The 16,851-nt window shown below is 39.2% G+C and overlaps 1 protein-coding gene across 2 annotated transcripts in view; it reads left to right on the forward strand.

Annotated features, from left to right (window-relative positions):
* SCG3 (secretogranin III) overlaps positions 1 to 16,851 on the forward strand; it is a 39,524-nt gene that overhangs the window by 12,991 nt on the left and 9,682 nt on the right. For both annotated transcript variants that reach the window (NM_013243.4, NM_001165257.2), the window contains 3 exons: positions 1,382 to 1,498; positions 4,826 to 4,909; positions 6,614 to 6,751. In NM_013243.4, coding sequence (NP_037375.2) covers positions 1,382 to 1,498; positions 4,826 to 4,909; positions 6,614 to 6,751 — 339 coding nt within the window. The remainder of the gene's footprint in view (positions 1 to 1,381; positions 1,499 to 4,825; positions 4,910 to 6,613; positions 6,752 to 16,851) is intronic.

The following is a 16,851-nucleotide window of genomic DNA, read 5'->3' on the forward strand; positions in this document are numbered from 1 at the left end:
CATATCTGCGGGGGAGGATGAAGAGGAAGGGGGAAAGGCTAGGAGTATTTAGAGAAAATCTTTCAGTGGCAGCTCAAAGAATAGGGAAAATGGGTTCCCCCTCTAGCATCTTAGTTTTTCTTTTCTTCAAAAATGGAAACAGATTTTTTTTTCTGATTTTAGAATTAATATTTTTTCTGAGCTATTATGGCATCATTATCCATTTTGTTCCATCAAGATGCAGAACAGAATGTCAAATACAAAGGGTTCCCAAGAGGCCGAGCGCGGTGGCTCACGCCTGTAATCCCCACACTTTGGGAGGCCAAGGAGGGCGGATCGCCTGAGGTCAGGAGATCGAGACCATCCTGGCCAACATGGTGAAACCCAGTCTCTACTAAAAATACAAAAATTAGCCAGGCATGGTGGCGCACGCCTATAATCCCAGCTACTCGGGAGGCTGAGGTAGGAGAATCTCCTGAACCCAGGAGGCAGAGGTTGCAGTAAGCCGAGATGGTGCCACTGCACTCCAGCCTGGGTGACAGAGTGAGACTCTATCTCAAAAAAAAAAAAAAAGAAAAAAGGTTCCCAAGAAACTGCTAGTAATCGTTACTTAAAGGGAGTTAGAGGGGATGAGGAAGAGAATATTACTTTCCATTTTTATTTACTTTTCAGCAGTTGGAATATTTTTACCATATGCATATATTCTTTCAAATGAAATAAAGATTAAAAGTAACATCTTGTTCAAAAATCAATTTTGTATTTATAAACTAGAACTATATATGTTCTTATTTTCAATTAAGAAAATTAAGCTTAATTAATGAATAAAGATTGTTCTTGCCCTCAGAGACTTACCACCTGAGTAGAGAAAAGTTGTTGGCTTGCCAGTCTTCTACCCTTCCTTTTGAGTTCATGTTACCTCAGGTTGAAAACTGTGTCTTTATCATCTACCCTATTAGCAAATATTTTAAATGAAATTAAACTCTTTTGGAGAAGTTATCATTGCCCATGTCCGAAAAAGTTCAGTATAGCTGTATCTTACCCTATATTTCCAATCAAGCTTAGATTTTTTGTAAGTTAAATATATATGGTTTTAGCTATAAATATAGAGAAAAATATTTCAGTAAAATACTGTAATTAGTGCTGGGTGTGGTGGTGTTTACCTATAGTTCCAACTTCATGGAAGGATCTCTTGAGTGCAGGAGATTAGTCTGAGACTGTAGTGAGCCATGATCAGACCGGAGAATAGCCACTGCATTCCAGCCTGGGCCACACAGTGAGACCTCGTCTTTGAAAAAAAAAAAAAACCCAAACAAACAAACAAAAAGATGCTGTACTTTATAAATTGACATTGAAAGAGGAAGCTATCCCCCACAGTTTTAAGTTATTTTGTTCTTTCATATAGAAAAAGAAGCAAAAGAGAAAGAAACACTGATTACTATCATGAAAACACTGATTGACTTTGTGAAGATGATGGTGAAATATGGAACAATATCTCCAGAAGAAGGTGTTTCCTACCTTGGTGAGATTCTATGTGTTTTGTTTCTACTGTGGTGGTTTTCATTGTTCAAAGTAAATTAGGGACTTGGCAATAATGACCTCATTAATTTGATAATTTATGCCAAAGCTTTCCAAATCACCAAGAATCGACCAGTTTGATAATATATACAAATAAAATTAACTTTTTCAACTTGTCTTTATAGAACCAGCTTAAGTACAAATATTTCACATTTATTAATTGTCTCATTAGCATTTTCTAATAATCTTATGGAGACAATTTTATAAAAATTTGACTCTAGGCCAGGTGCGGTGGCTCACACCTGTAATCCCAGCACTTTGGGAAGCTGAGGCAGGCAGATTGCCTGAGGCCAAGAGTTCGAGACCAGCTTGGCCAACATGGTGAAATGCTATCTCTACAAAAAATACAGAAATTAGCTGGGTATGGTGGTGCATCCCTGTAGTTCCAGCTACTCAGGAGGCTGAGGCATGAGAATCACTTTGGGCCCAGGAGGCTGAGGTTGCAGTGAGCCAAGATAGGGCCATGGCACTCCAGCCTGGGCCACAAAGCAAGACCCTGTCTCAGATAAATAAATAGGAAATAAATAAAATAAAAAGGAAAGAAAAGAGGTTTAATTGGCTCACAGTTCTGCAGGCTGTACAGAAAGCATGGCACCAGCATCTGCTCGGTGAAGCAACTACTTGTGGCAGAAGGTGAAGTGGGAGCAGGCATGTCACAGCATAAAAGCAAAGGCAAGGGTGGGGGAGGTGCCACACGCTTTTAAACAATCAGATCTCGTGAGAATTCACTCACTATCGGAGGACAGCACCAAGGAGATGGTGCTAAACCATTGGTGAGAAATCGCCCCCATGATCCAATCACCTCCCACCAGGCCCCACCTCCAACACTGGGGACTGTATTTCAACATTAGTGTTGGGGGAACAAATATCAAAACTATACCAGATAGGGCAATCCAGAATTACTCTGGATGAACCTCATTTTTTTTCTAAATGAAAGTAGTTTTACTGGTTTTTCCTTGACTGTAAAAGAGCATATTTATTTTTAAAAGTCATTCAATGCAAAAAATCCTAAAAAGAAAGTGAAAATCACTCACAACATCAACACTCTGGTAACATTTTGGTTTATATTCTTCCAGATGTTATTCTGTGTGTGTGTGTGTGTGTGTGTGTGTGTGTGTACCTATGTCATTTCTTTCTCTTATATAACAAAAAATAAGCTCATATTACACATAGTGCTTTGGGGTCTACTTTATTGTTTTCACAGTAGACCAAAGACACTGTTTTCATATCAATAACTTTCATATCAACACCCTGTGAGTCAGAAATTCCACACTTAGTCAATTATCCTATGGAAATAAATCAAAAATGCCTCAAAGGCTTATGTGCAAGGCAGATATTCCCACTATCACTTATAGCAGTGCTGCGCAATATGGTAACCACTAACCACAAGTTCGTATTTAAATTAAGAGTAACTTAAGCAGAATTTAAAATCTAGTTTCTCAGTTGCACTAGGCACATTTCAAGTGCCCAGTTGCCACATGTAGCTAGTAGCTACCATATGAACAGTGCAGAAATGAATACACTCATCATTGCAGAAAGTTCTGTTGGACAACATTGGCTTGTAGGAGCAAAGCAGTGAAAATAGGCTAGATACTCCACAAGAGGAGACTAAAGTAAATTATTTATTTATTTTTATGATAGACTATTTAAATTTTATTCTAAGTGTTTGTGTTTTTAAATAATTATATCTGCTCCTTACATATGCAATGTAAATATTGTTTATCAAGACTTACATACATATTAATGTATATGTACATGTTTATATACATATATGTATTATGTGTGTATATGTAACTTTTACAACTAGAGTTTGAGTTATGTCTTTAAGAATTTTTCTGTATAAGCACATTGGCTTTTGACTTCTGCTGCCATGGAGAGCCACCCTTAGATCCCAAGGGGCTCAGGGCAGCATGGGTAGAAGACGATTGACCAGCCTCCTCTCCTCCCATCTGAGCTAGTGACAAGCAGTGATCTGCCTTTCTATTCTGGCCTCAACAGTGTACCATGATTACAAATGTTGCCAGGTATGGCCACTATTTCCAAAAAGAAAGCAATGCATTACACATTAGAATATATTAATTATCTTCTTAAAATAGAGGTAGGGCAAGAGGAGTTTACTTGGGGAGAAAATATACAAAGTAATAATAAGATCCTTACAAACTAACTGCAAAGACATGCTTTTTTGAGAATGGCAGAAAAGGCTCGTCCTAAAATAGTGTAGTGAGATAGCTATGTGGCTGGTTTAATAGCTGAGTACAAAGAGTGTGGTTTCTAATTCATCGTCTACCTTGAGGAAGTCACAGTCTAGACTCCTGTCTAGTAACACTTAATATGATGCTACTCCAAAGAGTAGAATTAGGACAAAGACAAGGATACAGAGTGCAGCTTAATTTAAGTAGGGAAATGCTCCTTAATATAAGTAGGGAAATGACCCCTAAGACTACCTAACAGTAGGACTGGCTTCCTTATGAATTAGTGAAAGCCCTGAAAGACAGAAATCAAACTGTTTGGCTTAAGCAAGAAAGGAATTTATTGCCACGTATAACTGGAGAAGTCCATGGAGGGATGGGATAGTCTGGCTTTGGGTTTGCGAATTCCACCAACAGTGTGAGGAATTGACCTCATCCCATCTCACAGCTCTGACTTTTTGTGTCTTGATTTATTCCAGACAGACTGCTCCCTGTGGGAACAAGATAGCTGGGACAGTCCCAATTTCACCTCCTCACAGCACATCAATCCCAGTGGAAAGAGAGCCTCTTTCTACCAGTGGTCCTACCATTGAGTCTCACTGACCTGGATAGGTCCTAGGCTCCTCCTTGAATTATAGCCCAGGTCATGGAAGACCCTGTTTAGTCATTCTTGAGTTATTCTACCACCAGTGGAGTCAAATGTTCTGAGAGTGAGCCAGGGTTAGGTTCCCTAGGGAAAAATCAAGGTGCAGTTACCACAAGGTGTTGAATAGGTCAAACCCCAAGTATCCACTGTAATTCCCAATCCTGGAAGTGTTCTAGCAGTGGCCACAGAGATGCAGAAGCGACTTCTGCAATTAGCTGAGTAGGAGGCTGAACTTGAGGATCTCAAACTATATGTCTTTCCATCCTGAGAGTCTATGATTCTTAGAAATAAAATCCAGGTCAAAACATCTTACCAGGAGTGTTAATATTTTGGAGTTGCTATTGTGATATTTCTGGTGAGATTTAAACATTTTTCGTAAAAATTTGATGTCATCTCTCAGGGAATAAAATTAAATTTCTTTCCTTCCTCCCTCCAGAAAACTTGGATGAAATGATTGCTCTTCAGACCAAAAACAAGCTAGAAAAAAATGCTACTGACAATATAAGCAAGCTTTTCCCAGGTATGATTATTTAACTATTTTTTTAGCCTTTAGAATAATAACCCTTTTGAGTGGTAAATAATGAACTTTAATAAACATTAATTTAAAAATTACAGATTTTGAAAAGTGTTAAAATCTGAAACGCAGCCATAGGATTAATTAGATGTGACCTTGGCTATTTTGTGGCCAATCACAGCACATAAATCTGACCTCAAAAAACATTGAAAAATAATGTAGGTCTTTACTGAAGATTCCTGGAGGTGGCTAGGAATCTTAGGTGGAAAGGAAAAGGCTACATCACAAAACTGAGCAATCCATCCTAAAATTCTCCTTTAGGTATCTTCTCTCCCTAGATAATCACTTCTCCAGACTACTGTCCCTGGTCATCTGTTCACTCCCCACTGCCCGCCTCCCGCTCTCCCCTCCCAGGTTTTCTCTCTCCCCTGGGATGGTCTGTGCCCCTAGGTAGTGTGCTTTACCCCCGCTCTTGGTTTCGTCAGTTCCATACCTCCACCTATCACCCTACTCAGCCCATCAAACCCCAGGGAACTGAGCTATGGAAAGGAGCCTCCTTTCAAGGAGGAGGGTGGAACAAAAAGAGAAAAGTTTGCAAATGGCAGATTCTTTTTTAAATTTGTTTAGCTATTAATGACAACCAAAAATTGCAAATTGTTATACTTTGACTCTTTGTCACTATCACAGAAATTATATACATATTCTTGATGGCATAGTATACAGCCCTTTAAAATATGTTTTCAAGCAGTTTTTAATTACCTGGAAACATCCTTCCATAATAATGTAATGACACAAGCGAAGAACAAAATTGTACCACAACTGTGAAAAAAAATGCATCTCTCTACATACCGCATCACACTAGCGAATGTTTTATATCAGACACTAACTGATTTCTTTCTTTTCTTCCTATTTTTCTACAATAAAAAAACACTTTATTTTAAAAGTTTACTGTTAGACTGCTTGAGGTTCCAAATATTTTATTGGCTACAGAAATGTATTACAATTGTTTTCAAATGGTTACCTACTTTAAGGTTTATGATTTTTAATTCAACAAAGGATTACTACATGGAAATATGGTTATTTTAAAGTGAGAAGGGAGCAAGAGTTTCTCTCTTTTGATAGCAAGAGTTCAAGTCTCTTCTTCGAATTTAGGGTTCCTAGGGGTAAAGGAGTGTGAAGAAAGGAGCAGAAGGAGAGAAGTCCTGCCATAGCCCCAGATCCTTAGGTGTGATTGAGTAATAGACTGTCTTTCAAAAATGCAATGTCAAGGAGAGATTGGGCAGCTATAGAGTTATTATCATTTGGAATCAAGACCCACCAAATGTACTTCAGAACATGACATATCCTGGCTTGATCACCTACACTGATTAAAGTAAGACAAAGAATATGCCCTCTAATGGCAAGGTGTGGCAGAATGGAAAAAATACCAAATCAGAATTCAGAAAGCTGGGGTGGGGTGGGGTGGGGGGGATATATCTAAAGTCAACTCATGGGATGACTTTAGACATATCTCTCCCCTTTCTGGGCCTCAATTTCCTCTTCTGTGATATGGGGTTAAAGGGTTGGATTAGATAAGCACTAAGATCCCTTTCAACTCAAAATATGATCTGAGCTCAAACTGTACCTTGTCAATAAAGTTGATTTCTACTTTAGGAACCAATTAATAGATAGGAAACAGGGCTATGACAACAATGCTCAATCTGATTACAGCACCATCAGAGAAGAGTCATGAAGAAACAGACAGTACCAAGGAAGAAGCAGCTAAGATGGAAAAGGAATATGGAAGCTTGAAGGATTCCACAAAAGATGATAACTCCAACCCAGGAGGAAAGACAGATGAACCCAAAGGTATGGGATTGACAGCTCTAGGTTAGCAATGAAATTGGGAAAGCAAAAGCTTTCACCACACAAGGGAGGGTGATCCAAAGAGCAAGCTCCATCACATCTGAGAAATTGACACAATCTGTATAGAACAGGCTTGGCATGTGGTATCTTTATTTGAATAGCAATCTTTTTTAATGGTCTTGAGTCTCCTGGGATGGCAAACTGATTTCATCTTTTGATAGTCTTTAGTGTTCAATGGACTTTTGTGTTTGGAGAGGAATATGTATGACCATTAGTGCATTGTTTAACATATAATTTATAATCTTATGAATTTATTGAGCAATATTTTTTAAACTTATTGAATATTCCTCTAAATAATCACATACTGCTTATTCAACAAGATCATCAAAATTTATTATTTGGTCAGGCGCAGTGGCTCATGCCTGCAGTCCCAGCAGTTTGGATTGCTTGAGCTGAGGGTTTGAGACCAGCCTGGGCAACATGGAAAAACCTCATTTCTACAAAAAATGCAAAAATTAGCCAGGCATGGTGGCACATGCCTATAGTTTTAGCTGCTCAGGAGGCTGAGGTGGGAGGATCTCTTGAGTTCAGGACGTGGAGGCTGCCCCACTATACTCCAGCCTAGGTGACACAGCAAGGGCAATGAAAACACTTGGACACAGGAAGGGGAACATCACACACCGGGGCCTGTCGTGGGGTCGGGGGATGGGGGAGGATTAGATTAGGAGATATACCTCATGTAAATGATGAGTTAATGGGTGCAGCACACCAGCATGGCACATGTATACATATGTAACAAACCTGCACATTGTGCACATGTACCCTAGAACTTAAAGTATAATAAAAAAAATTTGAATTTAACAAAGCAAAATTTTAAAATGATTTAACCAGTGATTGTAACTTTTAACACTTTTAAGGACTTGATAAAAATGACAAATTCAATATATCAAATTTCCTTAAATAGCATAAATATATCTATGCAATATATAACACAATTTACATCTTTTTAGGATTTTATTTTATTTTATTTTTTGCAGTGGAGTCTCCCTCTGTTGCCCAGGCTAGAGTACAGTGGCACGATCTCAGCTCACTGCAACCTCCACCTCCTGGGTTCAAGTGATTCTTCTGCCTCAGCCTCCCAAGTAGCTGGGACTACAGGCACGCGCCACCCTGCCCTCTAATTTTTTGTATTTTTCATAGAGATGGGGTTTCATCAAGTTGGCCAGGCTGGTTTTGAACTCCTGACCTCAAGTGATCCCCCCGCCTAGGCCTCCCAAAGTGCTGGGTTTACAGGTGTGAGCCACCGTGCTCGGCCATCTTCCTAGGATTTTAGAAACTTTACCATACCCCCAAAGAAAAAGACTCAATGAGGTTATAAGTTCTAAATTGTTATCCCTTTGATTTCAGGTCCGAATGTGGGATCTAGTTGTACAGTTCAGTGGTTCAAGTCCCCTTATTACAAAGTTGTGCTAGTTACATCATGGAAATTTACATCTCTATGTCTCAGATAGATATTATTTTTCTGAAACTCAATGTCTTTACCAGAAGTTGTGAACAAACGGTTTGAACCTACCTTATTTTTCTGTCATTATGATATATTGGCATCTTTGATATAATTGGAACCTTATTTATGTCTTATCACTTGAGCTCAGGAGGTGGAGGCTGCACCACTGTACTTCAGCCTGGGTGACACAGCAAGATTAATGTCTCATTAGTAGATTCATCTGCAGAGTTTATTCTTTAAGAGCTGAGAGAGTGGGTCAGTGCTCTCTTGGGTGGGGGGTGGTGGAGGAACCCAGCCAATTTATCATCTGAAAACACACCATTGGACTCTCTGAAAAGAGATTTTCATTGGTTATGTATAACCATCAGTGGCAATGAATAGGTAGACTTTTTCTTGTTCCTTGTTATGATGTGATATGAGATCACAAGGACCAATTTTGCCCATGGTATAGCTCTTAATTTTGAAGAAATTGGCCCACTTAAAGGTTCCCCACCCAGTATCTCCTGCTCACACAAATAGAAGCAGGTTCCTATTCACACTTAATAGACGCATGCTTACTGTCTGTGTATGAAGTAGAAGAGAAACAAACTAGCTACGTATTTAATACCTTGAAACTCAAGAATACCAATAAAATTACAAACTATTTCCTTTTTATATTACTATTACCTTTGCTAACACTTTTTCCATTTGTGTAAGTTATTTCAGTTGTCGTTGTTGGTGATGATGATGACTTTATGCCTAAATTGGTGTAGCTTGGGCAGTGGGAGCTCCCTAAATTTCTCTTTAGTCTTTTTAGTACATCATCATTGCTTTCTAGCAACAACGGGATATTCTATACCCACTCTGAATTTTCCTTTCCCAAGACTTGAAGTCAATTCTCCTTCAAGGAGTTCTGGTTCCTTTTTTGTAGAAAAGACTTGTAGAATTAGACACCCAAACCTGGGTTATATAAGTTCAAATGAGTGGTGATAGTGGCAAAAGATGCTGCTTCTATTTCAGCTATTGGGACTTTTTTGAGACAGGGCTGAAAAATATAATTTTTCCTTAATGTATCAAGTTTCTGTTGATTTTTCCTATCTTATACATTTTTATATTTTTGTGCCCTCCTTTTCTCTAGCATGGATTTCATAGACCATCACAATTTTTTCCTACATTTTATATTTTCCTACATTTTACATTTCCTACATTGTACATTTTCCTACATTTTTTCCTACATTGACATAGCTGATGTGTCAACTCCAATTGTTTGGTAGTGGCCCATGTTGTGAAAGTTTATGATATTGCATCTGGGTTCAGGAAGAAAGAAAGCAGTAATGATCAATTAATAATGTTTGTCCTGAGCAAGAGTAGGCAGAACTGGTGATATGTGTGCCATGTTTGGGGACCCTGTAGACCAATCAGGCTGCTTTGACACTTCCATTCAACCCTAGGTCACTCTGGATGGGTGGTAAACTCTTTTTAAAATATATATATATATGTGTGTATACATACATACATACATATATATATATATATATATATATATATATATATAAAATAGCTCTTTTTTGAAATTGTGGTAAAATGTACATAACCTAAAATTTACCATCTTAACTGTTTTTAACTGTACAGTTTTGAGGCCCTAAGTACATTCACATTGTTTCTGTACCGTCACCACCATCCACCTCCAGAGCTCTTTTCATCTTGCAAAACTGAAACTCTGTACCAATTAAACAACACTTTTCCATTCTTGCTGTCCCCACTCCACGGCAATAACCATTCTATTTTCTGTCTCTATGGATTTGACTTCTATAGTGACCTCATATAAGTGGAATCATATAGCATTTTTCCTTCTGTGACCAGCTTACGTAACTTAGCATCATGTCCTCAATGTTCATCCATGTTGTAGCAAGTGTCAGAATTTTCTTCCTTTTTTAAGGCTGAAGAAATACTCCATTGTATGTATAAGCCACATTTTATCTATTTATTTGTCTATGGACGCTTGGGTTGCTTCTACCTTTTGGCTGTTGTGAGTAATACATATATATATATATATATATATATATATATACATCTCTCTTTGAGCTCCTTCTTTCAGTTCTTTTGGGTATATATCCAGAAGTGGAATTGCTGGATCATATGCTAATTCTATTTTTAATTTTTTGAGGAACCACCATACTGTTTTCTGTAGCAGCTGCACCATTTTAAATTTCTACCAATCGTGTGCAAGAGTTCCAGTTTCTCTACATCCTTGCCTAGACTTTTTATTTCTGGATTTTTTTTTATCCTAACAGATGTGAGGTGGAGGATGAATGGTAAATTTTTAAAAATAGCTAACCAGGACAAGAGTGGACTATGATCTGAGACAGAGAACCACGAATTGGGCAGCATAGAGCATTACAGCTCACCTCAACAGAAACCCAGTGTGCCTCAATCATCCCCTCTGGAAGTGACCCATGTATAGCAATCGTATTTCCCTAGAACCCAGTGAGCCATAGGCTACATCCTTTGACTTGCTGGGGTAACATGCTCAGTGCTTTAAACACCACCTTCTATCGCTGTGCACAGGGCTGTAGGAATGGGTGCTGACATTTCTGTTTGGTTTATTTTTAAGAAAACCATGTAAAAAATGAATATAAAAGAGATGATTCTCTGTAGTCCACTATTGCCTATTTAGGATGTGAGTGTTTGGAGACCAATGATAAGAGTGGATTTCCCTCTTCATTAGGATTTCCATCAGATAGTAATGGGGAGAGAGGAAGAGAGTAGACTAAAACTTTATCCATTTAGTGTTATTCTTTTTTTTTTTTTTCCCGAGACAGAGTCTCTATCTATCTCCCAGGTGGGAGTGCAATGGTGTGATATCTGCTCACTGCAACCCTCGCTGTCCAGGTTCAAGCAATTCTCCTGCCTCAGCCTCCCAAGTAGCTGGGATTACAGGCATGTGCCACCACACCCAGCTAATTTTTGTATTTTTAGTAGACATGGGGTTTCACCATGTTGGCCAGGCTGGTCTCAAACTCCCGACATCAGGTGATCCACCCAATCCATCCAGCCTACCAAAGTACTGGGATTGTAGGTGTGAGCCACCACGCCCAGCCTAGTGTTATTCTTTGCAATGGCTCTCCTAAAACATTAAAAAGAAGGCAGGAATTTGGGGTTAAAATTAGTCCCTCTGCTATTGTTCAGAGATGTAATTTATTAATGTTACCACTGAACCCATTACTCTGGGATAAGGACAACTGACTCTAAAACAGTTTAGAAAACACCAGCTAAGTGTAAGCCAAGGACCAGCAATTTCTAGGAAAAAAAAATGTATTAATCCCCAAAAGGACATACCGACATATATCTTTGTGTTCGCAGTTGTTTCATTGCACTTTTCTCAAGGGCTATTTTGCTTCCCTGTTATAAAACCCAGTGAGAAAACACCCATTGTCTCTAGGTAGAAAAAGAAAAGCATCCATGTGAGTGGAGGCAGGGTTGACTGGGTTTTCCGGGACAGTTATTCAGCAAGAAATAAACACTTATTCCAATGGCATGCCTAGCGCTGTGCTTAGGAAGCAGCTACAGAAGGAATATAAGAACCAATTCCTGCGTTTGAGGACTCAAGCAAGCTTTGAAATGGCCCAAGAATAGTCCTTAACTCATATGCTGGCAAGTGCAACACAGGCCACATACATGCACACATATCCCGCTTGTTGATGAGCCAGACATAGATAGAACAGGATCCCTTCAGGACGGAAAGCTGGAGGATGTTACAGAGTAGAATAAGGGATGAGGTAATGGTCCAGCTAAAACCACTTAAGGAAATAATTATAAGCAGAACACATTGGCAGGAATATCTGTGGGGAGTCTGTTTTGGCCTTGCGGTGTGTGAGGTGATAGCCCTATCTAACCACAGCAACTGTTTATTAACCATGCGTAGCATGAACTGGGTCCTGTGAGGAATATAAGTAATAATAATAATAGTAATAATAATAATACTCTATATTTATATCATGCTTCAGTTTACAAAGCACGTTTCTATGAATCTCATTTCAAGCTTAATGTAAAAAACAGCCAACTTCATTACCAATGATGAAAAATGATACATTCACCTTTGAAAATAGTTTGAACTATTTAAACTATGGTTTCCACAGGGACCCACATTAAGTATAATATTTTTAAATGTTGGTCTAGTTGTTTGACTGATTCAATAATTATTCCTAAGTTTATGGATATGCTAATAAATTATAATTTATTCTAACTTCAACCAAATCTATAAAGTTGCTTAACTTTTCAAGTAAATTGCTCTCTGAAAACTACTTTCAAACTTTATTTCATTATCTAAGTGTGGTTCTTTTTGCCATTTGGATGTTTACTCATTCACATCTGTTCTGTGAGTCACTGAAAGTCTTTTTTTTTAATCATCCAAGGGATGAAATAAGCATTCTAACACCCATAAACTCATTCCAGTGCTATCATTTAAGTTTACGGCTGGATAATAAAATTAGGCTGGAAAAGGTGATCTCTAAGATAACTTTCACTTAAATATCCTATCATCCTCATATCTTTTTTACAGGAGCCAGAAAAGTTAGCCTATTTAATAAGTTGATAATAAATTGCCTAATTCCTGTGGATACACTTATTTTTTAAGCAACATAAGAGAATTCACGCCTGCCTTCAAGCCTCCAGAGATTCTGCTAGAAATGTCCAAAAACAATGAGTCCAATATTCTCCCCTGGGAGTCAGCAAGTGGGTCAGGAAGACCCAAGTAGGCTTGGGAGAGCTATATATCAACATGGATTTTTCAAGGACAGAAAAGGGGAATTTCTTTCTTATGTACAAATCATGAATCTCCTTTTTAGAATTCACCCCTTGATTTACAAATCAGTAAAACAAGGCCCAGAAGATGAGCAACTTGCTCAAGATCTCATGGCCAAAGTGGTGGAGCTGGCCTTGAACCCATGTTTTCTGACTCTTCATCCAGTGCTCTTCCAGTCTTCCATGCTGCATCTAATGGGCATGTAAAATGTCATCATTATGCAGAATCTTGAATCTCACAGCTCCGTGGCCTGTGTCAGCACCCATGCGTCAGTATCAGTTGCTTTGCTTCATCCAGTTCAAAAGTGCAATCATGTAATCTTGACATAATTTTAAGTATTATATCAAACTTAGTTTTTATAAACACTCTTTTACAAAACCTAATGTCTTTAGTATATCCAGTATGCAATAGGACAACCCTATTGATTTATACACTTTCCCCAGAGGGAGAGAGTCAGGACAGCATAGTAGAGGAAGGACAAATTCATGTTTAGAAAAGATATTTTTCTCACAGTGTAAAAACCAGAACAGCCAGAAAAGCAAGGCTGCATCTCGACTCTGGCCCTCCTCCCATCTGCTTCAGCCTATGTTTTAAGGCTTGTGCTCTATTACCTCAGCCATGAGCTATTTTTTTTTTCCAAAGGAAGCTGAAATAAATTGAGGGAGAAAATAGTCCAGCTTTCCAAAGTCGACTCTCATAAGGCTTTCAGTGCACACTGCGTAAATAAAAGATTTGCTTTACAGCTCCTGCAAAGAGAAAAGTCAATATGAGCCAGCTGCTTTGCTCCAAGAGCAGAAGAGCACCTGATGTGATTCCCATTGTTGCCAATGCTCTTGTAAGCGTGTGGAGGTCTTAAAACTGGTGGCAGCGGTTCCCAAACTTTGCTGCACATTGGAGCCACCTCAAGATCATTAAAAAGTACAAATGTTTGGTCCCCAGTCCCAGATTCTGATTTAATTGGTCTGAGGAGCAATTTGGACATTGGGCCTTTAAAAGTTTTCGCTAAGTGATTTTAATGTGCATCAAAGTTTGAAAACAACTGCCTTGCCGGGCGCGGAGGCTCACGCCTGTCATCCCAGCACTTTGGGTGGCCGAGGAGGGCAGATCACGAGGTCAGGAGATCGAGACCATCCTGGCTAACATGGTGAAACCCCGTCGCTACTAAAAAATACAAAAAAAATTAGCTGGACAAAGTGGCGGGTGCCAGTAGTCCCAGCTACTCCGGAGGCTTGAGGCAGGAGAATGGCGTAAATCCGGGAGGCGGAGTTTGCGGTGAGCCGAGACTGCACCACTGCACTCCAGCCTGGGTGACAGAACGAGACTCCATCTAAAAAAAAAAAGAAAACCACTGCCTTGTCAGCCAGTTTACCAACAAGAGCAGGCACTCAATTTCTCTAGTCTAAAAGGTGAATTTGACCCAGCCCCAGTCATTAAAGGCTCCATATTTATTTTGGTTCAAAACCAGGCTCTGACCCTGTATTAGTTCTCTCTCACGCTGCTAATAAATACATACCCGAGACTGGGTAATTTATAAAGGAAAACAGTTTAATTGACTCACAATTCCACAGGGCTGAGGAGGCCTCAGGAAACTTATAATCATGGCGGAAGGGGAAACAAACAAGTCCTCCTTCACATGATGGTAGGAAGGAGAAGTGCTGAGCAAATGGGGAAAAGCCCCTTACGTAACCATCTGATCTTGTGAGAACTCACTCACTATCACAAGAACAGCAGCATGGGGGTAACCGCCCCCCTGATTCAATTACCTCCTACTGGGTCCCTCCCATGACACATGGGGATTATGGGAATGACAATTCAAGATGAGACTTGGGTGGGGACACAGCCCAACCATATCAGACCCTTACTTAGCTATGTCGCCTTGGGCATGTCATTTAACCTCTCTGAGCCTTAGTTTCTTCATGAATAAAATGGGAATAATGATATTTAATTAATAGAATTCTATGAAGAATAAATGACATATGGATGTAGTATATCTATCACATTTGTGTTTTAAATTGTTTCTGAAAAAATAGTTTCTGATATAGCTATCATTTAGGTTTAGAATCCATTAAATTTCAAGTCTCTCAAATAAATCATTCATTTTCACTAAAAAAAAAGGCAGAGATAAATCTATGCCATATATATATATATATATATATATATATATATATATATATTTTTTTTTTTTTTTTTTTTTTTTTTTTTTTTTTTTTGAGACAGAGTCTCGCTCTGTCGCCCAGGCTGGAGTGCAGTGGCGTGATCTCTGCTCACTGCAAGCTCCGCCTCCCGGGTTCATGCTATTCTCCTGACTCAGCCTCCCGAGTAGCTGGGACTACAGGTGCCCACCAACACGCCCGGCTAATTTTTTTTTTTTTTTTTTTTTTGTATTTTTAGTAGAGACGGGGTTTCACCATGTTAGCCAGGATGGTCTGGATCTCCTGACCTTGTGATCCGCCCGCCTCGGCCTCCCAAAGTGCTGGGATTACAGGCATGAGCCACCGCGCCCGGCCGGCTTGTAAGTTTTTTTAAGATGTAGTTTCCTAGTTTGGATTCCATGCTGACTGGGCAATCTTCTAATTGCAATTTGGCTTCTGTACAGAAAGATTTCATCCATTTACTCATTGACAAATATTTCTTGAGAGCTTACTCTCTGTCAGTCTTGTTCTAGGCAGAGGGTACATCAGCAAACAACATATTTCTAAGGGAGGAAGACAATAAACTTAACAAATTATATGCTACAGTAGAAGGTAATAAGTAGTCACCTTCTGATGGATAAAAATAAAGCATGAAAGAGGAGGAGAATGACGGGGTGTTCTGTTATAAATTAGGGAGACTGTCCTAATCATGTATGTTATAACCCATAAGATACTAGTCTCTCAATGAATTGCAGTCCAATTTTCTTTAAGCTATAGTAAACTCATTCTCTGTTATGAGTTGATAATGTTGATATAGTGAATAAAATAGCTTTTCATACATTACATACTTTTTAAAATTCCATACCATTTTTATAGGTAATTGGTTCCTGAACAAAAAGCAGCCTAATACAATAATGCTGAGACCTCTACTTTATTTTTCTTTTGAGACAGAATCTGGCTGTGTTGTCCAAGCTGGAGTGCAGTGGTGCAATCTTGGCTCACTGCAACCTCCACCTCCTGGGCTCAAGCAGTCCTCCCACCTCAGCCTCCTAATAGCTGGGACTACAGATGCACACCACCATGCCTGGCTAATTTTTTTTTTTTTTTTTTTTTTTGGTAGACATGGGGTTTTTCCATGTTGCCCAGGCTAGTCTCAAACTCTTAGGTTCAAGCGATCTGCCCACCCTGGCCTCCCAAAGTGCTGGGATCACAGGTGTGAGCCACAGAGCCTGGTCAAGGCCTTTATTTCAAATTGTCTTATGTTGAGTTCCCTCCAAGGCATGCACTAAGAGAAGGATTTGAGGTGAAGTAGCTTCATTGGGAAGTGACCCCAGGAAGCACCACTGCAGGGTAGGTACATGAGCAGGAAGAGAAAAAAGCCAATATAAGGTGTGATAATGAGCAAGCTTCAGCATGGGCGACTAGAGCTCAATCCTATTGAAGACTTCTGGGAAACAGTAGAACATGCCTAAGGAACAAGGAAGCTGATGCATTGATCTACCCATTTCATCCGTCATCAGTTGAAGGCTGCTCTAGTAGCTAGCTATGAAGAGGGAGGCATGAGAGTGGGTAATGTTTGCCCCACGATGGCGAAAACTTCATTTGTTTTTACTCTCCTAATTTGGAATTTTTAATGCAGTGTCTAAACAGACTAAGCTGTGGTTTTCCTTATCCCAAAAAAGCT

Source organism: Homo sapiens, chromosome 15 (assembly GCF_000001405.40).
Source record: "Homo sapiens chromosome 15, GRCh38.p14 Primary Assembly".
Lineage (NCBI taxonomy): Eukaryota > Metazoa > Chordata > Mammalia > Primates > Hominidae > Homo > Homo sapiens.